Here is a 26032-nt window from a genome sequence, read left to right on the forward strand (position 1 = left end):
GAGTAGAATGGGTATTTCATTTTACATGACTGTAAAAATTCGATTGAGTTAAATTAGAACCTAACATAAGATTGAGAAATATTTTTTCTTTTCAGTATACTTTTTAATCCTATATGCTAATTTAAAACAATTTTACTGAACTACAGAGAACTTTATAATTTATTTTTAGAACACTAATACTATGTCTTTTAAAGTTTGTTACGAAAGTTACTATAGGCTTATAAAAAATCAGAAGTATATAAAGTCAGGAGTCAAAGCTGGTCCCCTGTTCCTGCTGCACAGAGGCAGTCACTGATAATTTTTAGGTGTTTTTCTATTACAAATTTTATTTTATTTTATTTTAGATTTAGAGGTACACGTGCAGGTTTGTTGCATGAGTATGTTGTGTGATGCTGAGGCTTGGGGTACAAGTGATTCCATCACTCAGGTAGTGAGCATAGTACCCAAGAGCTTGTCTTTGAACCCTTGTTCCCTTCCCTCCCTCTCCCTTTTGGAGTCCCCAGTGTCCACCGTTTCCATCTTTATGTCCACATGTACCCAGTGTTTAGCTCCCACTTATAAGTGAGAACATGCAGCATTTGGTTTTCTGTTTCTGTGTTAATTCATTTAGGATAATGGCCTTCAGCTGTATCCCTGTTGCTACAAAGGACGTTATTTAATTTTTTTTTTTTTTTTTTTTTTTTTTTTTAGACTGGGCCTGGCTCTATTGCCCAGGCTGGAGTGCAGTCATACGATCTTGACTCATTGCAGCCTCTGCCACCCAGGCTCAAACCATCCTCCCACCTCAGCCTCCTGAGTAGCTGGGACTACAGGTGCACACCACCAAACCTGGCTAATTTTTGTATTTTTTGTAGAGACGGGGTCTCACTTTGTTGTCCAGGCTGGTCTCACACTTCTGATCTCAAGCACTCCACCCACCTAGGTCTTCCAAAGTACTGGGATTACAGGCATGAGCCACCATGCCTGGATGATTTAATTCTTTTTTATGGCTACATATTATAAATTTTTAAATGGTAATTTGTTTGCTTTGTTTTTTCAATCTAGAGCCTAAGGAGTGTTATCATCATCAAATCTTGTATGTAAATATATATAATAAATAAAATAAAAATAAATATATATTAATCCTATATATAAATCCTATATATAAATATTTATCTATATTTTTGTCTATATCTGGCTCCATGTGCTGATTTTCCTTGGCTGCTTCTTAACATAGTTACATGAGACCCTTAGTATTACTTTTACTTCCCTCTCTGTCCATTCAGAATTGTCTGTAGCTCTTCCTGGGAGCTCTGAAAACAACTCTTTCCATTTCTTTCTGAATGCCCCCTCTGCGGGGCTATGATCTAGTCCGTGGCTTGGGTGGAGGGACAGATGTCATCCTGTCCTCTTAGTTTTCCTTTCCCATATCACCAGATTTCTTTCTTCTTTCCGTAGCTAAAGCAGAAGCATATAGGTTTTCATCAGACTCATTTAGACCCTGAATCTGATGTAGGGTTAGTCAGAGCCTGTGAGGTACACACACGATCTAGGAATCTCCCTCACACACACACACACAGAGGCACACATACCCAGGACACCCAAGATACACACACCCCAGAATTTCTGAGGTACATATACACCCTTCCTCAAGATCCTAATTTACTAATTGATAGTGAAATATAATGTTAAGGAAGATTGGGGCTCATGCCTGCAATCCCAGCACTTTGGGAGTCCGAGGTGGGCAGATTGCTTGAGCTCAAGACTTCGAGACCAGCCTAGGCAACATGACAAAACCCTGTCTCCAAAAAATACAAAAATTAGTTGGGCATGGTGGTGCATGCCTGCAGTCCCAGCTACTCAGGAGGCTGAGGTAGGAGGATCATTTGTACCCAGGGCTGTTGACGCTGCAGTGAGCTGTGATCATGCCACTGCACTCCAGCCTGGGCAGCAAAGCCAGACCCTGCCTCAAAAAAAAGGAAGATTGGATTTCTGGCTAGTACATTTTCTCCCTGGAAAGAGAAGGTATAATTGGGAGATTGCTTGGTGAACATGTAATTAGACTGGTATAGAATATATTACTGTGCCATAAACTCAGTTTTCAACTTCTTTTTGGAAAAATAAATGACTAGCTTTCTTGATTTTTCAATTACTGAATAGTTTATCAGTTCAGAATGAATTAGACTCAAGAATAAGAGAACATTCTTTTTATACTTGCACTAAGTGGATGCTTCTGTTATAAATTAGATTATAACTTCAACTTCATCAGCCTTAGTTTAACTCAGGCTCTTATGTTTTTCCTCCTGATGTTTGCTTTTGTTTAAAATCTTATATTTGGAGGCTGATCTCATCTCGCAGGGGTCAGTCCATTCTCCTCCTCCGAGGGTGTAAATCAATCAATCAATAAAATCTTATATTTGGAATGATTTAATGTATGGCTGGAATTTGTCATTTTGCTGTGGTTACATAGTTTGTGGATGTCTGTTAACAGAAGGCCATTAGGAAAGGTAGTAGGTTTTGAGGAAAAGTAGAGAATTTTTTACCAAAAAGTGATTTTCAGCTGAATTTATTTTTGTTCAATATATTTTTTTTGAGACTGGATCTTTCTCTGTCACCAAGTCTGGAGTGTGGTGGTATGATCACGGCTCACGGCTCACGGCTCACGGCTCACGGCTCACAGCTCACAGCTCACAGCTCACTGCAGCCTCAACCACCCAGCCTCAAGCAATTCTCCCACCTCAGCCTCCCAAGTAGCTGGGACCACAGGTGTGTGCCACCACACCTGGCTCTCTTTTTTTTTTTGGTAGAGACAGAGTCTTGCTGTGTTGCCCAGGCTGGTCTCGAACTTCTGGGCTCAAGTGATTCTCCTGCCGCAGTCTCCCAAAGTGCTGGAATTATAGGTGTAAGCCACTGCGCCTGGCCTTCAATAAATAATTATTAAGCACGTGTTATCATGGGATACAACAGTGAACCAAAAATACATGGTTCCTACTCTCAAGGCGGTTTCATTTTAGTGGGAGACATGAATAAATATAAATAAAGATAATAATTATAAATGATGGTAAGTACTATGAAAAAAATAAAGCCATGTCATGCAGGGCAGCTGGGAGGAAGAGCGTAGCTAGTCAAGGAAGGTCTCTCTGAGACGGGGACATTTCAGCTGAAGCTAATGGGCAAGGGAGCCAGCTGTGTGGAGAGCTGAAGCAACAGTGTTCTAGACACAGGAAACAGCTGCAAAAGCCCTTGGCCTCTTCTAAGAACTCTCAGAAACCTGTGGGCCAAGTGTGACAGGAGGTTAGAGAGAGAGACAGAGACCTTGCAAGACCTCAGAGGCCACAGTGTGCAACGTGGACCTATTCTCCATGCCTAGGGCAGCCATTGAAGGCTGTTCACTCGAGGAGTGATGTGATGTGTAGGATTTGCATTTTAAGAGGTGGCTCTGTCTGCTGTCTGGACAGTGGATTGGAAAGAGGTAAGAGTGGAAGCAGGGAGCCTGGTGAGAAGGCACGTGCAGCTGTTCGGGTAGGACTACATTCATGGGTGTTACTGGAAGTGGAGGAAAGACAGACTTGAGGTGTATTTTGGCGCCAAAACTGATGTGACTCGAGGATGGATTGAGATCCTTTTGCATCATAGAAATCAAAAGGGGAATTTCAAGAGAAAGGCTCACTCAGTAACTTCAGATGCTGCCAAGAATCAAGGAGGTTGACAAGTGAGAAAAGACACCTGGATTTGTTTAAGAACTAATTAAAGAGAAAGGATATGAGAAAACTTTCTAGGGGGTGATGGAGATGTTCTGTGTCTGATAGGGGTGCAATTGTTTATAATTACAATAAAAATGGTTACAGTGTAGGTATGTTTTATGTGGTGAAACTGACAATCAAATGGAGTGGAGAATACATGGAAGTATAGATGAAGCAGGAATGGCAGAATGTTGGCAACTATTGAAGTGTTGTGATGGGTACATAGGAGTTTATTTGTATTTACTTTGTACATGTTTTAAATTTTCTATGATAGTTTCTAAAAAGAACTTACTGGTGTTCAAGGGTGCCATTTAATTGGAGTAGGAGGTGCAGAAACCAAATTTTATGGGTTAAAGAGAAATTAAATGATTTTTAAAAATGAGTTATGACTATAGTCCACCACCCAATTTTAGGACATTTGGAAATAAATGGAAGAGAGAACAATGAGGAGGAGGATTAAGTTCAAGTGAAAGATTTTTTTTAAATGGAAGAGGACTATGCATGTTTGAGAAAAGAGGGAAGAAATGGGTTGAGGAAGGCAGAGTGCAGTTAGAAAAAGGTTTCTCAGATTCCCAGGCTTAACGGGCCTCGTACTGCAGTAATGCCTGAGCTCAGGCCCAAATCCTGCTCTTCTGACTCTTGTTTAATGGCGGAGGGAGTTTTGGAGGAGGAAAGAAAGAAAGGAAGTGGGTTCAGCTTTTCTTTGTATTGCCTTCGAAAGAGAAGTCATTGTAGTTGGTAGAGTGTAGAGTACACAGTTGAAGACTTGAAATGACAAGTTTTGATTTCCTATTAAGAGGAAAGGCTTGGAATTGCAGTTGTAGCGAAGGTGCTAAGAATAGTTAACAAATGAATTGGCCGGGCGCGGTGGCTCACGCCTGTAATCCCAGCACTTTGGGAGGCCGAGGCGGGCGGATCACGAGGTCAGGAGATCCAGACTATCCTGGCTAACACGGTGAAACTCCGTCTCTACTAAAAATGCAAAAAAAAAAAATTAGCCGGGCGAGGTGGCGGATGCCTGTAGTCCCCCGCGGGAGGCTGAGGCAGGAAAATGGCGTGAACCCGGGAGGTGGAGCTTGCAGTGAGCCAAGATTGCGCCGCTGCACTCCAGCCTGGGCGACAGGGAGACTCCGTCTAAAAAAAAAAAAAAAAAAAAAAAATAGTTAACAAATGAATAAACGGTCAATATGGTTTACAAAATATCCAGGTAAGTTGTGCAAGTATAGATCAGGAGCCCTTATGGATGGGCAGGGTTGGTATAGAAGTCTTTTTTTTTGAGACAGAGTCTCGCTCTGTTGCCCAGGCTGGAGTGCAGTGGTGCGATCTCGGGTCACTGCAAGCTCCGCCTCCCGGGTTCACGCCATTCTCCTGCCTCAGCCTCCCGAGTAGCTGGGACTTGACAGGCGCCTGCCGCCACGCCCGGATAATTTTTTGCCCAGATAATTTTTTGTATTTTTTAGTAGAGACGGGGTTTCAGCGTGTTAGCCAGGAAGGTCTCGATCTCCTGACCTCGTGATCCGCCCGCCTCAGCCTCCCAAAGTGCTGGGATTACAGGCTGAGCCACTGTGCCCAGCGCGGTATAGAAGTCTTATTGGAGGAAGTGAATTTTGCTGTTCCTCTTGAAGAGTGCTCTCTGAAACTGTGCAGCATCTTCCGTAACATTTTCTTGGAGAGAGATGTTTATTGAAGTTCAGAGATGGATTAGGATTATATATTCTTCGGGAGTTGGGAATTGTAGACTTTGACCTCTTGAGTTTAGGGATTTTTTTTTTTTTCTCTGCCAGAAAGATATAAAGCAGGTGATGGTTTCTAAAAGACTGCTGTAAACAGATTATAGATCATTCCTGAATTATGCACAAGCATAATTCCTTATTTTTGCCTCCTTTCCTCCCCTCCTCTCTCCTGATTAATTCAGCACATATTTATTGAGCACCTACTGTGTGCTAGGAACTGTGTTGGGTGTTGATACACAGAATTGACTCCTTAAACTATTATTTATTCTTTGTTTTAATTATTGGAGCTCCAACCACTTAAAGTGGAGGCAGGAAGAAAGAATGTTAAATTTCACATCAGTTTAGAACGAGCTTTTTTTCCCTGAATGGTCACCAGATTGCAATTTTGTATGACCTAACAAATTTCTCAAAGAGAGTTCTGCTATTGTTGTGAAAGCTTCTATTGTAAATGCTGAAGGAAGACAAGTTGACAGAGTTTTTGTTAATGTAAAACTTCAGATGCCTCTGAACATATCCTTTGGAGGAACAGTGAATATTTCTTACATTTTTCCCAAGGACCACTTCAGGGCTTATTTAATTTTTCTGCTGTGTATGTGAGAGATAAAATTGAATCAAATTAACAGAGTTACCCATGGATCTGTCTTATTGTTCCATATTTTTAGAGGTTAAATATGAAAATTACCTTCTGTGACTGGGTGCAGTGGCTCACGCCTGTAATCCCAGCAGTTTGGGAGGCCGAGGCAGGCAGATGACTTGAGGTCAGGAGTTTGAGACTAGCCTGGCCAACATAGCAAAACCCCATCTCTACTAAAAATACAAAAATTAGCTGGGCCTGTTAGTGTGCACCTGTAATCCCAGCTGTGCCTGTAATCCCAGCTACTCGGGAGGCTGAGGCAGGAGAATCAGTTGAACCCAGGAGGCAGAGGTTGCAGTGAGCCAAGATCACACCACTGCACTCCAGCCTGGGTGACAGTGTGAAACTCCATCTCAATAAAGACGAGACGAGACGGGACGGGACGGGACGGAGCCAGGAGGCAGAGGTTGCAGTGAGCCAAGATCACACCACGGCACTCCAGCCTGGGTGACAGTGTGAAACTCCATCTCAATAAAGGCGAGGCGAGGGCGAGGGCGAGGGCGAGGGGCCTGTAGTCCCAGCTACTTGGGAGGCTGAGGCAGGAGAATTGCTTGAACATGGGAGGCAGAGGTTGCAGTGAGCCAAGATCATGCCCCTGTACTCCAGCCTGGGCAACAGAGTGAGACTCCATCTCAAAAAAAAAAAAAAAAAGGCTGGGCGCAGTGGCTCAAGCTTGTAATCCCAGCACTTAGGGAGGCCAAGGCGGGTGGATCACGAGGTCAGGAGATCGAGACCATCCTGGCTAACACAGTGAAACGCCATCTCTACTAAAAATACAAAAAAATTAGCCGAGCATGGTGGCAGGCGCCTGTAGTCCCAGCTACTTGGGAGGCTGAGGCAGGAGAATGGCGTGAACCTGGAAGGCGGAGCTTGCAGTGAGCCAAGATCGCGCCACTGCACTCCAGCCTGGGGGACAGAGCAAGACTCTGTCTCAAAAAAAAAAAAAAAAAAAAAAAAAAATATATATATATATATATATATTCTGTAAAATCCGGAGGCACAGATATGTATATGCTTCATTGGCCTGATTCCCGTAGAGAGAAATTCATGTGACCTATTTTATTTGGCATTTATGTGCTTATATTATCACACTGATCTGAAAACAGATACTACTATTTTATCTGTCACATGTGGCTTTGACTGGTTAAATGTAATGCTCATTTTTCTTAGTGTCTGGTTTCGCTGTCACATAGTGGAACTGTACATTACTGGGAGGTTTCAGCTCTATTGTGGATTTACTGACACATGCTGAACTAAGCTGTTTATTTGTATCATCTCTTCTTTTTATTGAGATATTATCAAAAATGACATACTTTTATAGTCATTCAGTTTTTTTAATGCAACAAACATTTATTGGGCACCTACTAGTTGCTGATGTCGTAGGTACAGGCATGCAAAGTGATTTATGTAAGACATGGTCTCTGCATTTCGGGCACTTTTAACCTAGTTGAGGGAGGTAACCATACCATACAGGCTATGATACCGATATTAAATATGTGCCTAGGGCAAAGCAATGAATTCTTTCTGGAAGGAAGTCCACAATGGAGAGGGAACACTTGAACTGGGCATTGTAGAAAGACGGGTTTCATGGTTTTTATTGGTTTGTTGTTGAATGGGTGAGGGGGAGAAGGCTATTATATGCAGAGGGAACTGTGTATAGCATATAAGGGGTAATGTGCCGGGCACGGTGGCTCATGCCTGTAATCCCAGCACTTTGGGAGGCCGAGGCGAGCGGATCACCTGAGGTTGGGAGTTCGAGACCAGCCTGACCGACATGGAGAAACCCTGTCTCTACTGAAAATACAAAAAATTAGCCAGGCATGGTGGCATGTGCCTGTAATCCCAGCTTCTCGGGAGGCTGAGGCAGGAGAAGCACTTGAACCCAGGAGGCGGAGGTTGTGGTGAGCCGAGACCGTGACATTGTACTCCAGCCTGGGCAACAAGAGCAAAGCTCCGTCTCAAAAAAAAAAAAAAAAAAAAAAAAAAACAGGTAATATGCGATGGGAGATGGTGAAAAATTTGATTGTGTTTCAGATATCTTGATGTCTGTTACATCACATCAAAACTTAGTGGTTTAAAACCACCATTGTAACCTCCTGAGTGGAATAATTGCAAAAAGTTTAGTAAATACTCTATCCTCAAGGATGTGGAGCATAACTTTCCACTCTTAAAGTGTGGATTCACACAGTGGAGAACCCTAAAGTCAGGCAATCAAGTCAACATCAACAGTGATAAGTCATTTTTATACTTTGTACCCTTGGTACGATGTGAGGAAATGGCACTTCAATTTCTAGTTGTCTTCCCTAAAACCCATTATCCCAGTCTAATCATGAGAAAAACATCAGACAAATTCCACTAGCGGAATGTTCTGCAGAATACCTGATCAGCACTCCTGAAAACTCAAGGAAAACTGAGAAAAATCTGAGGAACTGTCACAGCCAAGAGACAGCTAAGGAGACACAATGACAATGTAATGTGGTATTCTGGATGGGATCCTGGAACATTAGGTAAAAACTAAGCAAATTTAATAAACTATGGACTTTAGTTAATGTATCGGGTTGGGGGGCTACGGGAGGGATAGCATTAGGAGAAATACCTAATGTAGGTGATGGGTTGATGGGTGCAGCAAACCACCATGGCACATGTATACCTATGTAACAAACCTGCATGTTCTGCACGTGTATCCCAGAACTTAAAGTTTAATAAATAAATAATAATGTATCAATATTGGTTCATGAATTGTGACAGATATACTAAGGTAACATGTTACTAACAGCAGAAACTGCATCCGGATAAATGGACTATCTTCCTAATTTTTCTGTAAATCTAAACCTGTTCTAAAAAATAAAGTTTTCATATATTTTTAAGACTCCATTACCAAGACAGCATTTTATTTCTCATAATTCTGTGTTTTCCTGGGCTCACTAGGGCAGTTCTTCTCTTCCAAAGTGGTATTGGCTGGAGTTACAGTCATCTGGAGGCCCAATTGGCCAGAAATGCCTGAAAGGGCCCACTCACATGGCTGGCAGTTGGTATTGGCTGTCAGCTAGGAGACCAACTTGAGGCTGTTGACCCAAGGTTCTCCTCCATATGACCTCTGCATGCCTTGGGTTTCTCACAGCATGGTGGCAGGGATTCAGGAGGGAGCATTCCAACTGTGCAGGAGCTGCAGACACCTTAAGCCCAGCCTTAGAAGTCACCCAGCTTTGCTTCTTCCCCAGTCTGTTGAATTAAAGCAAGTCACAGGACCATCCCAGACTCAAGGGGAGGAGAAACAGACCCCACCTTTCAGTGGGAAGACTGACCTTAAATATGAGATCATCTTTCATCCACCATACAGCGACTAGAGTGTTGGGTGCCAGGGAGACGGGGGCATGGCAGAGCCCAGATTATCTTAGGCTGAAGAGTTTCAAGAATAGACCACAGATTAAACAAATTTATTTTATTTTATTTTTATTTTAGCAACCTTATTGACACCTTGAAGTAGCAAATTTTTTTTTGTTTAATAGAAACATGTTCTTGCTCTTTTGCCCAAGCTGTAGAGCAGTGATGTGATGATGGCTTGCTGAAACCTTGAATTTAATGGGCTCAAGTGATCTTCCCACCTCAGCCTCCGGAATAGCTGAGACTACAGGTGTGCCACCATGCCTGGCTAGTTTTTCTTACTTTTTCTGTAGAGACTGGGTCTCACTATGTTGGCCAGGCTGGTCTCAAACTTCTGACTCAAGTGATCCTCCTGCCTCGGCCTCCCAAAGTGCTGAGATTACAGATGTGAGCCACTGCAGCCAACCAAAGCAGCAGACTTTTAAAGCAGGGAAATGAGATGTACATTTTACTTTATGATTTGCTGTGTTAGGATAACTGGTGTTGATGTAGAGAGGGTAGGTAGACTAGAATATCTGTATCTTTACATTCAGCTTCTCTAAAAGAAAAGAGGATTTAATAGGCCTACTTCAGCCTGTGGACTGATTTCCATTGGGTCCTGAGTTCTCAGGAGTTAGGAGAGCAAGAACCGTAGGTGAGGAAGTAGATCCCATAGAAGGTCAAATGAATTGGGAGGCGAGGACTGGCATTTCTGGCACGGTCTCCAGACCTGATGTAATCTTTCTTTATGGTTCTTAACAAAGATAGATTGGAATGCTTAAACTCTGTAGCCATTTCTCACTTTAAATGTAATGTAACTTAGGTCGATATTCTAAATGAGTTGGTGTTAGCTTACTAGTTGTAGAGATTCTGTAGCTCTAGACTTGAAATGTTCATTTTTTAAGTGAAATCTAAAACAGATATAGTAAAATTTGTTATAGAGCTGAGCCGTTGGGTGTCTGTGATCATATTCTCTGTACCTTTGTGTATGTTTATCTTGTGTGTGTGTGTGTGTGTGTGTGTGTGTGTATACTTTTTTTTTTGAGGCAGAGTGTTGCTCTGTCGCGTAGGCTGGAGTATAGTAGCCTGAACACAGCTCATTGCAGCCTGAACCTCTTGGGCTCCAAGGGATCCTCCTGCCTCAGCCTCCCGTGTAGCTGGGACCATAGATGCATGCCACCACACCGAGCTAAATTTTTTTTTTTTAACTCTTTTTGTAGAGACATGGTCTCACTATGTTGCCTAGGCTGGTGTTGAACTCCTGGGCTCAAGAGATCCTCCCACCTTAGCCTCCGAAAGTGTTGAGATTACAGGCATGAGCCACCATGCCTGGCCTGTATATTTAAATATTTATAATAAAACAATAAAAGTAAGCTCTAGGGTTTCAAATTTATAGCTATATATTTAAGTACCCACGTGTTTCTACTAATTACTGCAAATAAATATTTACTGAATCAGGAAGCTAACATTTTAGCTATTAATATAACATTATCATTATCAAAGGCAGCAAGTAAACGTAGTCTTTGTCTACAGAGAATAAAGTCATCTGTTGATTTGCTTAACATTAAAGATAGTTAAATAGGGTAACTTAGACATAAAATACACAGTAGTATTTGAATGATCTGTTTTAATTGGTTTCATTGACAAAGAACTGCAAGATCTGTTCTTAATATTAAGTGCTCATTTAGTCAAGAAAAGTGTTACACAGAAGTATTTTAGGAACTTGGTAATTTGTTTTGTTTGTGTTTTGGTAGGGGATGCAGAGAAAAAAGATTTACCCATTGTTTAATAAAGTCTTTTGCTTTCCAGAGCTTAGGATATCTCTACCTTAGGCTGGATCTGCTTTAGCAAAAGTGATAACAAGATTTCATGGATTTTGGTATTCTGAGAGCAGATTGGAAAAGCAAACATGCAGCGCAAGTGCTTTCCCCATTTGTTTACGTAGCTGGTAAGCAACATCATTTGGGTTGAACTCCAGGCCTGTCTGACTCCAGAGGCCATAGTAGTTCAATACTCCATCCTGGACAAGTTACACGGCAGAGTAATCAGCTGTTTCCTTATGTCAGATAAACTTACTGGAAAAGTCAGTTTATAGAACTATAGACTTCTATAGGTACAGAAGAATCCCTAAGAAGGGAGAGGGTGCTTTGTGCGTATTCAGAGCCACACATTTCTCCGGAGAAGAGATGGTTAGAGCATTGAGAGATGTCTGTGAGACCCTGGAGATGGAGTTAGAAGCAGAACCCCTGCAGGCAATAGGGAACTATTGAAGGATGTTAAGCAGGGGAGAAACCTGATGATCTGATGCATATTTTAGAAAGATGGACCTGCCGGGCCTGGTGGCCCACACCTATAATCCCAGCACTTTGGGAGGCCGAGGCGGGTGGATTACTTGAGGTCAGGAGTTCCAGACCAGCCTGGCCAACATGGTGAAACCGCATCTCTACTAAAAATACAAAAATTAGCCGGGCATGGTGGCAGGCGCCTGTAATCCTAGCTACTTGGGAGGCTGAGGCAGGAAAATCGCTTGAATTGGGAGGCAGAGGTTGCAGTGAGCCGAGATCACACCACCACACTCCAGCCTGGACAACAAAGCTAGACTGTATCTCAAAAAAAAAAAAAAAAAGAATGACCTGGCAGGAGTGTGGAGAAATGATTACCAACAGGCTGTAAAATGGAGACACGGAAACCAGTTAGGAGAGTTAGGAGTCCCCTCAGGAAGACTGAGGAAGGCTTTTGAAATAAGGCAGTAACAGTGGTCTGCAGAGGAGGGGACTGACAGGAGAAGCATACAGGAAGGATGGGAGGAGAGCACAAATCTGCAAAGAGTGGGTTAAATGATGCCATGTGAAATAGGAGATAGAGCAAGGTATTGGATGTAGCTGTTGTTACTGTTATCGTTATTTTTTTGAGACGGAGTCTCGCTCTGTTGCTCAGACTATTGTGTAGTGGTATGATCTCAGCTCACTGCAACCTCTGCCTCCCAGGCTCAGGAGATTCTCCTGCCTCAGCCTCTTGAGTAGCTGGGATTACAGGCACACACCACCATGCCCAGCTAGTTTTTGTATTTTTAGTAGAGACGGGGTTTCGCTATGTTGGCCAGACTGGTCTCGAATTCCTGACCTCAGGTGATCCGCCTGCCTTAGCCTCCCAAAGTGCTGGGATTACAGGCATGAGCCACCACGCCTGGCCTGTTACTGTTACTTTTAACTGGGTGTGGATTTTGAAATACTGAGGCACCTGCAGGCAGCCCAGGTAAAACTAAATTAGTAGGCATTTTAGAGCTCAGTAGAGAGAGAGGACATCAAGATACGTATTAGGAGTTCTCAGCATATAGGAATAGATGGGGCTGGGAGATGAGAAAAGGCTCAAGTATAGAACTGTAGGAAGTATTTCAGACTGTGTCCAACCTGAGCATGGATAAGAATTCACTCTCTCAAAGTACCAAAACAAACAAAACCCCAAACAGCAATTCAAAGTACTAAAAAAAAGTAAAAATAAAGGTAAATTAAGGAAAGAAAAGAATTAACTTGGATGTTCTTTCCTTTTCCTTTTCAGCAGCTTTATTAAGGTATACTTTACATCCTATAAAACTTACCCATTTATAGTATACAGCTCAATGGTTTTCAGTGTATTCACAGAGTTGTACCACCATCACTGCCATCTAATTTAAGAACATTGTCATTACTCCAAAAAGAAACTGTATCCATTAGCAGTCACTCTCTATTCCCTTTCCTCCCAGGCACAGGCAACCACTAATCTTTCCATCTCTACAGAATCACCTATTCTGAACATTCCATATAAATAGAATCATACAGTATGTTTTCCTTCTGTGTGATGTGAGACTTCTTTCAGTTAGCATCATGTTTTCAAGGCTATCCATGTTAAGCACATTATCAGTGCCTCAGTCCTTTGAATGGCTGAATAATACCCTATTGCATGGGTGTACGCATTTTTTTTTTTTTTTTTTTTGAGATGGAGTCTTGCTCTATGGCCCAGGCTGGATGGAGTGCAGTGGTGCGATCCTGGCTAACTGCAGCATCTGCCTCCTGGGTTCCAGTGATTCTCCTGCCTCACCCTCCTGAGTAGCTGGGATTACAGGCGCATGCTGCCATGCCCAGCTAATTTTTGCATTTTTAGTAGAGATGGGGTTTCACCATGTTGGCCAGGCTGGTCTCGAACTCCTGACATCAGGTGATCCTCCTGCCTTGGCCTCCCAAAGTGCCGGGATTACAGGCGCGAGCCACTGTGCCTGGCCTGCATTTTATTTATATACTCAACAGTTGATGAATATTTGGATGATTCCCACCTTTTGACTGCTATGAACATTAATAATATTATGAAATGAACATTTTAATGCTGCTTTGAACATTTGTGTACAAGTTTTTGTGTGGAATATATTTTCATTTCTCTTAGTTATATACCTAGGAGTGGAACTGCTGGGTCATATGGTTTAACTTTTTGAGGAACTGCCAAACTGTTTTTCAAGTGACTACACCATTTTATATTCTCACCAGAAATGCACGAGGGTTCCAGTTTGTCTGCATCATCACCAATACTTGTTATTGTCATCCAAAAGCTTTAACGTTTTAGCCCCCACAGTTAGGTCTGTGATCCGCCTCAAATTAAGTTTTGTATATAGTATGTGACATAGAGGTCATGGTTCATACATTTCCATGTGGTTATCCAGTTCCTCCAGCACCTTTTCCTCACTGAATTACATTAGTCTTCTGATAGTTTGTTTCCAATTGTGAAGTCTTATGCTTTAAGTTCAAAAGAATCAATTATACAACTATAGGATGGGCAAAACCAGTATACCAGCAGTGTCCAGACAATGTGATTGACTTCTGAAACAAAAAAAAAACCACTTCTTGCTTAGCTATAGAACCACAAATTTTAACTGATAACATATTTTAATATCCTTTGAAGCTTATTTTGACCATGTGATTAAATTCTAGTCAAAGAGATGTAAGCAGGATGTAAAGTGCAGCTTCCACAAAGTCTTCCTAAGTAAGTGACAGGTTCTTCTCTCCTTTCTGCTACATGGAACACAGACATGAAGGTTGGGACTGGAGCAACCATCTTAAAACACAAAGTGGAAGAAACATATTGAAGATGGAAGAACAAAATAGAAGTCTCAAGTCCCTGGTAATTGGAAAGTGACCATACCAGTCCTTGACCACTTACACAGATTTCTAAGAAAGATATTAAGAGCAGTCTTCATATATTTGAGAGAGTGGTTGTTGAATAGATGGTAATTTTTTTTCTATCTTATTCCTTTTTTTTTGAGATGGGGTGTTGCTCTGTTGCCCAGGCTGGAGTCATGATACAGTCTTTGCTCACTGCAACCTCTGTCTCCCAGGTTCAAGCAATTTTCCTGCCTCAAACTCCCAAGAAGCTGGGACTACAGGTGCATGCCACCATGCCTGGCTAATTTTTGTATTTTTAGTAGAGATGGGGTTTCACCATATTGGCCAGGCTGGTCTCAAACTCCTGACCTCAAGCAATCTGCCTGCCTCAGCCTCCCAAAAGGCTGGGATTACAGGCATGAGCCACTGCACCCAGCCAATAATTATATTTTTATATTCTTTATTCTTGTAGTTTTCCTTCTCATGGTAAGATTTTGTCATGAGGAAAAAATTTTAAGATGTAGCAAAGTACAGAGAATAAAATAACAGATACATCCACTTAACCATCAACAAGATTTAACATATTTGCTTTGTCATATTTGCTTCAAATTTCTCTCTCTCTACTTTTTTTTTTAATTAACGAATTTATTGAGCACAGTGGAGTTAACTTCTTTCCATGGGTGGTGAACTCAAATTCTGTCCTTTTTTTTTTTTTTTTTTTTTTTGAGATGGCCTCACTGTTGCCCAGGCTGGAATGCAGTGGCACAATCTCAACTCACTGCAACCTCCACCTCCCGGGTTCAGGCGATGCTCCCACCTTAGCTTCCCAAGTAGTTGGGACTACAGGCACGCACCACCATGCCCAGCTGATTTTTGTATTTTTAGTAGAGACCATGCTGCCCCCAGGCTGGTCTCGAACTCCTGACCTCAAGTGATTCCCCCACTTTGGCCTCCCAAAGTGCTGGGATCAAATTTCTCTCTTTTTTAAAGAAATAAAATAAGGATATAGTTAATGGTTGAGGGCCTCTGTGTAACCCTTTCCCAAGCCAATCCCTTTCCTCCTTCCTCAGCTGTAATCCTACTCTGTAGTCTGTAAGTGCCTTACCTCTTAAAGAGAATTTTAAAAATTCACTGGTTCTCCCTCCTCTGACTGACTGCCCCTTAGTTCAGCTGTAGTCTGCCTACTGTTGCATAGGAATCACCTGGGGTGCTTGTAAAGAAAATAGAGATCCCAGGTCCCAGCTGTTTTTTTCTTGTTTTTTGTTTTTGTTTTTGTTTTTGTTTTTTCTTGAGTCAGTGTCTTGCTCTGTCACCCAGGTTGGAGTGCAGTGGCGCGATCTCTGCTCACTGCAAGCTCTGCCTCCCAGGTTCACGCCATTCTCCTGCCTCAGCCTCCCGAGTAGCTGAGACTGCAGGCACCCACCACCACGCCTGGCTAATTTTTTGTATTTTTAGTACCGTGTTAGCCAGGATGGTCTTGATCTCCTGACCTCATGATCCACCCACCTCGGCCTCCCAAAGTGCTGGGATTACAGGTGTGAGCCACCGCGCCTGGCCTTCTTGTTTTTGTTTTTGAAGCAGAAGTCTAACTCTGTCACCCAGGCTGGAGTGCAGTGGTGTGATTATAGTTCACTGAGCCTTGAACTCCTAGGCTCAAAGGATCCGCCCACCTCAGCCTCCTGAGTAGCTAGTACTACAGGCAAGTGCCACCACGCCTAGCTAATTTTTTTTTTTTTTTTTTAAGAGAGGGGTCTCCACTATGTTGCCCAGGCTGGTCTCGAACTCCTGGCCTCAAGTGATCTTCATACCTTGGTTTCTCACAGCACTGGGATTACAGGCATGAGCCACCGTGCACAGCCACCAGATTTTAACTCTTGAGATTCTGTTTCATGAAGCCCAGGGTAGGGCTTAGGCATCTTTGCTTTAAAAAGCATGCAAAGTGCAAATCAAAACCACAGTGAAATAGCATTTCACATCCACTAGAATGGCTAAAATAAAAAATAACAATAACAATTCTTACTGTGTTCCGTGTAGCAGAAAGGAGAGAACTTGCCATTTCCTTAGGAAGACTTTGTGGAAGCTGGACTTTACATCCCGCTTACATCTCTTTGACTAGAGTTTAATCACATGGTCAAAATAAGCTTCAAAGGATATTAAAATATGTTATCAGTTAAAATAAGCAAGAAGTGTTTCTTTTTTTCAGAAGTCAAGCACATTGTCCATACACTGCTATTATACTGGTCTTGCCCATCCTATAGTTGTATAATTGATTCTTTTGAACCTAAAGTATAAGACTTCACGATTAGAAAAAAATTATCCAAAGACTAATGTAATTAAGTGAGGAAAAGGTGCTGGAGGAACTGGATAACCACATGGAAATGTATGAACCATGACCTCTATGTCACATACTATATATAAAACTTAATTTGAGGTGTATCACAGAGCTAACTGTGGGGGCTAAAACGTTGAAGCCTTTGGATGGCCGCACAAGAGATGTCTGCATTCATAACCTTGGGGAGGGTATGAACATTTCTTGGTAACATGCAAAAAGCACTAACTGTAAAAGAGAACAGTTGGTCAGTTGAATTTCATGAAACATTGTAAACTTCTGCTAAACAACTGACACCATTAAGAATGTGGAAAAAGGCTGGGCACAGTGGCTCATGCCTATAATCCCAGCATTTTGGGAGGCCGGGGCGGGAGAATCACTTGAGGCCAGGAGTTTGAAACCAGCCTGGGCAACATGGCAAGACCCCGACTCTACAAAAATATTTTTAAAAATTAGTTGGGTGTGGTGATGCACTCCTGTAGTCCTAGCTGCCCAGGAGGCTAAGGTGGAAGGATCACTTAAGCCCTGGAGGTTGAGGCTGCAATGAGCTATGATCACGCCACTGCACTCCAGCCTGGGTGACAGAACAAGACCTTGACTCTAAAAAAAATCAAATAAGAATATGGAAAACTATAGATTGGGAAAAAACATTTGCAATACATCTTTTTTTGTGGGGGGGATAGAGTCTCGCTCTGTCACCCAGGCTGAAGTGCAGTGGCCCAATCTCGGCTCACTGCGAGCTCCACCTCCCGGGTTCACTTCATTCTCCTGCCTCACTGCCTCAGCCTCTGAGTAGCTGGGACTACAGGCGCCCACCACCACGCCCCGCTAATTTTTTGTATTTTTAGTAGAGACAGGGTTTCACCGTGTTAGCCAGGATGGTCTCGATCTCCTGACCTCGTGATCCGCCCGCCTTGGCCACCCAAAGTGTTGGGATTACAGGCGTGAGCCACTGTGCCCGGCCTGGAATACATCTTTCTAATAAAAGTCTGCAATACATCTTTCTAATAAAAGTCTCATGTCCAGAGTATGTAAAGAATTACCAAAAATCAGTTAGAAAAGGTCAAACAACTCAAAAATGTACAAAAGACTAGGCATTTCACAAAATAAGGCATCCAAATGGTTATGAAAACACAGATGTTCAACATTATTCATGAGCAAAATACAAATTAAAACTGTAATGTAATGCCATTATACACTCACCAAAATGACTACAGTTCAAAAGACTAATAATACCAGGTGTTGGCAAGAATGTGGAGCAACTGGAACTTTTAGACATTGTTGGAAGGAGTGTAAAATGGTACAGCCACTTAAAGAACTGTTTCATAAGCTTCTAAATAATGTTAAACGAACTTCCACCCTATAAGGCAGACATTCTCTTAGGTGTATACTCCATAGAAATGACTGCATAGATTTGCAAAAACACATTATATGAAAATGCTCATGGCAGTTTTATTTATAGCAGCTCCAAACTGGAAATAGCTAGCTGTCTATCTAATGAATAAACAAATTATAGTTTGTCTGTGCAGTGGAACACTACTAAGTTTAAAAATTGAACTCTTGGCTGGGCGCAGTGGCTCCCGCCTGTAATCCCAGCACTTTGGGAGGCCGAGGCGGGCGGATCACGAGGTCAGGAGATCGAGACCATCCTGGCTAACATGGTGAAACCCTGTCTCTACTAAAAATACCAAAAATTAGCCGGGCGTGGTGGCGGGCACCTGTAGTCCCAGCTACTTGGTAGGCTGAGGCAGGAGAATGGCGTGAACCGAGGAGGCAGAACTTGCAGTGAGCCGAGATTGTGCCACTGTACTCCAGCCTGGGCGACAGAGCAAGACTCCGTCTCGGAAAAAAAAAAAAAAAAAAATGAACTCTTGATCAGTGTAACAACATGGATAAATCTCAGAAACATTATACCGAGTGAAAAAATGTAGATATAAAAGTGGTACATACTGTCAGATCCCAGTGATATTAAGCTTTCGAACATGTCAATCCCATTTATAGTTAATAGGGCGATCTTCAAGGGAAGGGGCATGTAGAAGTTTTCTGGGGAGATGGAAATTTTCTGTCTCAATCTATATGTTGCTTGAAGGTACAACCATATCTAAAATTAATCATTAAGGCTAGGCTCAGTAGCTCATGCCTGTAATCCCAGCACTTTGGGAGGCCAAGACTGGAGGATCACTTCAGCCCAGGAATTTCAGACCAGCCTGGGCAGAGAGACCCTATCTAGCTCCACAAAAAAAAAAAAAAAAAAAATTTTTTTAATTAGCTGGGTGTGCTGGCACAGGCCTGTGGTCCCAGCTATTCGGGAGGCTAAGGTGGGAGAATCACTTGAATTCGGGATGTCAAGGCTTCAGTGAGTCATAATTGTGCCGTTGCACTGCAGCCTGGGTGACAGAGTGAGACCCTGTCTCAAAAGTAGAGAGAAATGAGATAAAAATAAAATTCATTGAGCCTACACTTAAAGTGTGTGTATTTTTCTGCTTGTGAATTATACTTCAATTTAAAAAAAAAATTGAGGAGCTTCCACCCATCTCCTTAGTCTGTTGAGACCATGTTAAATATTGATTCTTTTATCCACTATATCAGCTGACTTCTCAGCTTTCAAAAAATATATACATTTTCTTTTTAACTGCAGTACCTGCAGTAGAGGGTGTGGTTGGAGATATTTATAAAATGGGTAGGATTTAGCAATTTATTCGATGTTGAGGAAAGAGAAAACGATAAATCGGCTGGGCATGGTGGTTCACGCCTGTAATCCCAGCACTTTGGGAGGCTAAGGCAGGCGGATCACAAGGTCAAGAGATTGAGACCATCCTGGCCAACACGGTGAAACCCCGTCTCTACTAAAAATACAAAAATTAGCTGGGTGTGGTGGCGCCCTCCTGTAGTCCCAGCTACTTGGGAGGCTGAGGCAGGAGAATTGCTTGAACCCAGGAGGCAGAGGTTGCAGTGAGCCAAGATCACATCACTATGCTCCAGCCTGGTGACAGAGCGAGACTTTGTCTCAAAAAAAAAAGCAGGTTTGGGAGTGAATAGGATGCAGTCTGTATGGAGCACAGAGTTTGAAATGCTGGCATATAATCTGCATGGCAACGTCAGCCTGATGAAACTGTGGGGCTGGAAACGTGATAGGTTAGGATGGAAACAGAATTGGGATCACTCAAATTTAATAGTGGAAACTGTGAGATTAGATGAAATGGCTGTGGCAGAATGAGAAGAAAGAGGTCCAAGGGCAGAACCTAGGGAAATAAATGCTTAGGGAGTAGTAGGAGAAAGGGAAAGTCGGCACATCCTGGTCAAACAACTTTGTTGTGCCAGGCTTCTGGTGAATAAGACATTCAAAGTCTCTGCCTCAAGAAGTTTGCATTCGTGGTTGGGGAGACAGACAATAAGACACATGAACAAATAAGCCTTTCAGGTAGTGATATGTGTGATGCTGGGGAGTGACTGGAAGTATTTCAGCTGGGCTGGTAGGGGAAGATCACCCTGGATCAAAGAGATGGCCCTAGAGCTGATGACTGAATGATGTGAAGGAAGCTTTCATGTAATAATATGTGAGAAATGCTGTCTTTTTTTTTGAGACGGAGTTTCTCTCTTGTTGCCCAGGCTGGAGACCAATGGCATGATTTTGGCTCACTGCAACCTCTGCCTCCTGAATTCAAGCATTGTCCTACATCAGCCTCCCAAGTAGCTGGGATTACAGGCATGTGCCACCACGCCCGGCTAATTTTTTTTTTTTTTTTTTTTTTTGAGATGGAGTCTCGCTCTGTCGCCCAGGCTGGAGTGCAGTGGCGCAATCTCAGCTTACTGCAACCTCCTCCCCCTAGCAGTTCTCCTACCTCAGCCTCCTGAATAACTGGGATTACAGGCGCCCGCCGCCATGCCTGGCTAATTTTTTGTGTGTGTTTGTAGTAGAGACAGGGTTTCGCCATGTTGGCTAGGCTGGCCTTGAACTCCTGACCTCACATAATCCACCTGCCTTGGCCTCCCAAAGGGCTGGGATTACAGGCATAAGCCACCGTGCCCGAACAAGAAACGTTTTCTAAGTCAAAGGAATAAATCCAAAGCCTCTAAGATTGGGTGAGAGAGAGGAAAAGAAATGACGGAAGATGGTCCAGTACAAGGCAGAGATTTTCAAAAGGGTGGACATGGCTACTGTATTAAATATTACTTAGAGGTATTCACAATAGCGAAAAGGTGGAAGTGATCCAAGTGTCCATGGAAGGGTGAATGGATAAACAAAATGTGGTATATACATACAATGGAATATTATTTAGCCTTACAAAGGGAAGGAAACTCTGACACATGCTACAACATAGATGAATATTGAAGACATATGCTAAGTGAAACAAACTAGTGACAAAAAGACAAATACCGTATGATTCTACTTATATAAGGTAACTGGAGGAGTCAGAGTCATAGAGACAGAAAGTGGAATGGTGCTTGTTAGGGACTGGGGGGAGCAGGGACTGGGGAGTTACTGTTTAAGGGGTACAGAGTTTCAGATGGAAAAGATGGAAGAATTGTGGAGATGGATGGTTGATGGTTCCACAGTATCTCAGTTTGTTTATGCTGCTATAACAAAATACCACAGACTAGGTACTTTATAAAGAACAGAAATTTATTTTCTGATAGTTCTAGAGGCCGCGAATAACAAGATCAAGGCACCAGTAGATCTGTTGTCAGGGGAGGCCCCAATCCCTGCTTCTAAGAGGGAGGAATACTGCGTCCCCACGTGGCAAAAGGTGGAAGGGCAAAAAGCGACAGTGCGTCCCTGACAAGCCCTTTTATAACAGCGTGAATTTATGCAGGCAGAACTCTTATGACCTAAACACCTTCCAGAAGGCCCCACCTCCCAACACTATTGCACTGGGGATTAGGTTTTCAACACAAATTTTGGGGGACACATTCAGACCATAGCAAAGACAGACACAAAACACCACATATTATGTCACTCCAATTATATATGAGAAGTCAAAAGAGGCAAATCTGTAGAGATAGAAGGTAGATTCGTGGTTGTCTGGGCCTCAGAAGGAGGATGAAAGGGAGGCAAAATGGAGAGTGACTGCTGTTACGTAAGTAGTTTCTTTTGGAATGATGAAAAAGTTCTAAGATTGGATTGTGGTAGTGGTTGCACAATTCTGTAAATACAATAAAAGCCACTGAATTGTGTACTTTAAACAGGTGAACTTTATGGCATATAGGTTATATCTCAATAAAACGATTTTTTAAATGGCCAAAAGACTTGAAGACACTACCAGAGAACAGATAGCAAAGGAGCTCATAGAAAGATGTTCAACATGAGTGCAGTTAAAACCATGATTAGAATTGGCTAAAATTAAAAAGTCCACACAAAGTACTGCTATTGATGAGACATGGGACAAATAGAACTCTCATACGCTGCTGGAAGGAAGGTAAAATGGCTACAACCACGTTGGAAAACAGTTTCTTTTTTTTTTTTTTTTTTTGAGACAGAGTCTTGCTCTGTTGCCAGGCTGCAGTGCAGTGGCACAATCTCGGCTCACTGCAACCTCCGCCTCCCGGGTTCAAGCAATTCTCCTGCCTTAGCCTCCTGAGTAGCTGGGATTACAGGCGCCTGCCACCACGCCCAGCTAATTTTTGTATTTTTAGTAGAGATGGAGTTTCACCATGTTGGCCAGGATGATCTCAATCTCTTGACCTTGTGATCTGCCCGCCTTGCCCCCCACAAAGTGCTGAGATTACAGGTGTGGGCCACCGCGCCGGGCCAGAAAACAGCTTCTTAAAAAGTTAAAACATGTAACTACCATGTGATCCAACTGTTCTACTCTGTTATGAGTTGAATTATGTTGAAATACGAACTCCCAGAACCTTAGAATGTCGTCTTACTTGGGGATAGGACTTTGACAGAGGTAATTAAGTTAAAATGGGATTATTAGGATAGGCCCTAATCCAGTATGACTGGTGTTCATATTAAAAGGGGGGAACTTTGGACATAGAAACACACAAATAGGAAAAATACCATGTGAAACTGAAGACAGCCATCTGTAAGCCAAGGAGAGCAGACTGGAACACATCCTTCCCTCACAGCTCTCAGAGGGAACCAACCCTGCCAATACCTTGATTTTGGACTTCTAGCCTCTAGAACAGTGAGACAAAAAATTTGTTTGTTAAGCCACCAGATTTGAAATACTTCATTACAGCAGCCCTAGCAAACTAATACACCCTCCTAGGTATTTACTCAATAAAAAAGAATACATATGTGAGTGTTCATAGCAGCTTTATTTGCAGTAGCAAAAATCGAAACAACTCAAACACCCATCAAATTGTGATACATTCTGAACAATGGAATACTACTCAGCTGTGAAAGGAAAATGAACTATTGACACTTGAAACCACATGGATGAATTTCAGAATGATTATGCTGAGTAAAAGAAGCCAGACAGAAAAAGAGTACATACTGTTTGATTCCACTTATGGAAGCTCCAGAAAATGCAGCTGCATCTATAGTGATAGAAAGTTCATCAGTGGTTGCCTAGGCAGGGTCACAGGAGAGGAAGCTTAAAGAGGGATGACTGGGTGCGGTGGCTCACACTTGTAATCCCAGCACTTCGGGAGGCCAAGGCGGGCAAATCACGAGGTCAGGAGTTTGAGACCAGCCTGGCCAATATGGTGAAACCTCGTCTCTACTAAAAATACAAAAAAAATTCGCCAGGCGTGGTGGCACACACCTGTAATCCCAGCTACTCAGGAGGCGGAGGCAGGAGAATCTCTTGAACCCAGGAGGCGGAGGTTGCAGTGAGCCGAGATCGCGCCATTGCACTACAGCCTGGCAACAGAGCGAGACTCCGTCTCCCTCCCCCGCCAAAAAAAAAAAAAAAAAAAAAAAGATTAAAGAGGGGCATGATGAAACTTTTAGGGTGGTATGTTCATTGTCTTGCTTGTGGTGATGATTTCATGTGTATGTATGTGTCAAAACTAAAAATTGTACTTTTTTTTTTAAGAGACAGGGTCTCACTTTGTCACCCAGGCTGAAGTACAGTGGTGCCATCATAGCTCACTGCAGCCTTGAAATCTTAGGCTTAAGCCATCCTCCTGCCTTGGCCTCCCAAAGTGTTGGAATTACAGGCATGAGCTACTGCACCTGGTATAAAATAATTTTTTTTAAAATGAAAGCCAACAAAAAATTGAAAATAGTTTCGGTGGGGTGGAAAAAGTAGAGTCAAAAAGGTTTTAAGAATAAGTCTTGACATGGTAAACTAAGGCAGGTTATTAATGTCTGCTGCTCCCTTCTAAAGTGCCACTAAAATTATTTTTACTTTGGGAGGCCAAGGCGGGCAGATCACGAGGTCAGGAGATCAAGACCATCCTGGCTAACACGGTGAAACCCCGTCTCTACTAAAAAATACAAAAAATTAGCCAGGCGTGGTCGTGGGCGCCTGTAGTCCCAGCTACTTGGGAGGCTGAGGCAGGAGAATGGCGTGAACCCGGAAGGCAGAGCTTGCAGTGGGCCAAGATCGTGCCACTGCACCCCAGCCTGGGTGACAGAGCGAGACTCCATCTCAAAAAAATATATATTTTTACGAAATGATTTCAGCAAGCATAAATCCACCAGAAAACAAAGTGAATAGAAGAAGAGATGAAGAGGATAAGAGATGCCCGACAAAGTTTTGGAAGCTGGGAAGCTTTTGGAATAACACTAAAAACAGCAAGATGGGTTGAAGAGGCGATGAGAAGCAAGGCCCCAGATACGCTTTCCTCATATCCACAGACCACTACCCTTGCCCACCTGGCAGAAGACTGGAAAGGCTGAACCTCAGGAAAAGCTGAGGGTGGGTGTGAGGTACCTAATTAAAAACAGAACTTACATAAAAGGCTACATGCTGACATATGAGACTTTACCAGCTCTTCCCAAATTCATTCCCAGAACACTGAAAGCCTGACTTATATCTGTCAGGTTGAGGATTGAAGGATGTCTTTTTGGGGTAATTAAATAGCCCAAGGAGGGGGAAATAGATGAGGATGTATAGCTGTAGGCATCTGAAGGTCCTAATTAAATGGGCAGGTCCCTTCCTGATCACCCTCCAGAAAGCTAACCCCTGGATAAGGAAACTCTCCCTTACCCCTCCCCTCCTACACACACATACACCCAAAATCAAGCTCTTTAGGGTCTCGCTCTTAAATATCAGTGGATAGACAAGAATGATCAGACATTTGATAAAAATCTATGAATGAAAGATGGTGACCAAAGACAAAAGAGGAACTTGGAGGAAACAGAGACAATGTAGGGAGCAGAAGAAAACTAAAACAGGCTGGGTGTGGTGGCTCACGCCTGTAATCCCAGCTACTCAGGAGGCTGAGGCATGAGAATCGCTTGAACCAGAGAGGTGGAAGTTGCAGTGAGCCGAGATCACGCCACTGCACTCCAGCTTGGGCAACAGAGTGAGACTCTGTCTCAAAAATAAATAGGCCAGGCACCGTGGCTCACACCTGTAATCCCAGCTCTTTGGGAGGCTGAGGCGGGCAGATCACTTGAGGTCAGGAGTTTGAGACCAGCCTGGCCAACATGGCGAAACCCCATCTCTACTAAAAATGCACGCCTGTAATCCCAGCTACTCGGGAAGCTGAAGCAGGGAGAATCTCTTGAAGCGGAGAAGCAGAGGTTGCAATGAGCTGAGATCATGCTACTACACTTCAGCCTGGGCGACAGTGAGACTGCATCTCAAAAAAAAAAAAAAAGAAAAAAGAAAAAAACTAAAACAAAAACTCTCTAGAATATCCTCAGAGATGAGAGAAGATATTGTTATAATGGAACAAGAACAGGAGACTGGAAAAAGGAATATTCAAAGAACGAGGAAGAGCTCTTAAAAATTCAATTAAAATAGCAGAAATTGTACATATGTTAAAAGTTTTAGAAAATAAAGTTGAGAGAACCTCCCAGAAATTAAAATAAAAAAATCAAAGACACAAAAATGGAGAAAGAAAGAAAGAAGAAAATCAATCTCAGAGATTCATTCAGACACAAAAATGAAGAAAGAGAAAGAAAAGAAAGAAGAAAGAAAGAAAGAAGAAAGAAAGCAAATCAGTTAATCTGAGAGATTCAACACTGAATAACAGGAATTCCAGAAGGAGAGAACAGA

The 26032-nt window shown here is 42.7% G+C and overlaps 1 protein-coding gene across 1 annotated transcript in view; it reads left to right on the forward strand.

Moving 5' to 3' along the window:
• TNRC6B (trinucleotide repeat containing adaptor 6B) overlaps nucleotides 1-26032 on the forward strand; it is a 290975-nt gene that overhangs the window by 81088 nt on the left and 183855 nt on the right. The window lies entirely within an intron of this gene.

Source organism: Homo sapiens, chromosome 22 (assembly GCF_000001405.40).
Source record: "Homo sapiens chromosome 22, GRCh38.p14 Primary Assembly".
Taxonomy (NCBI): Eukaryota; Metazoa; Chordata; class Mammalia; order Primates; family Hominidae; genus Homo; species Homo sapiens.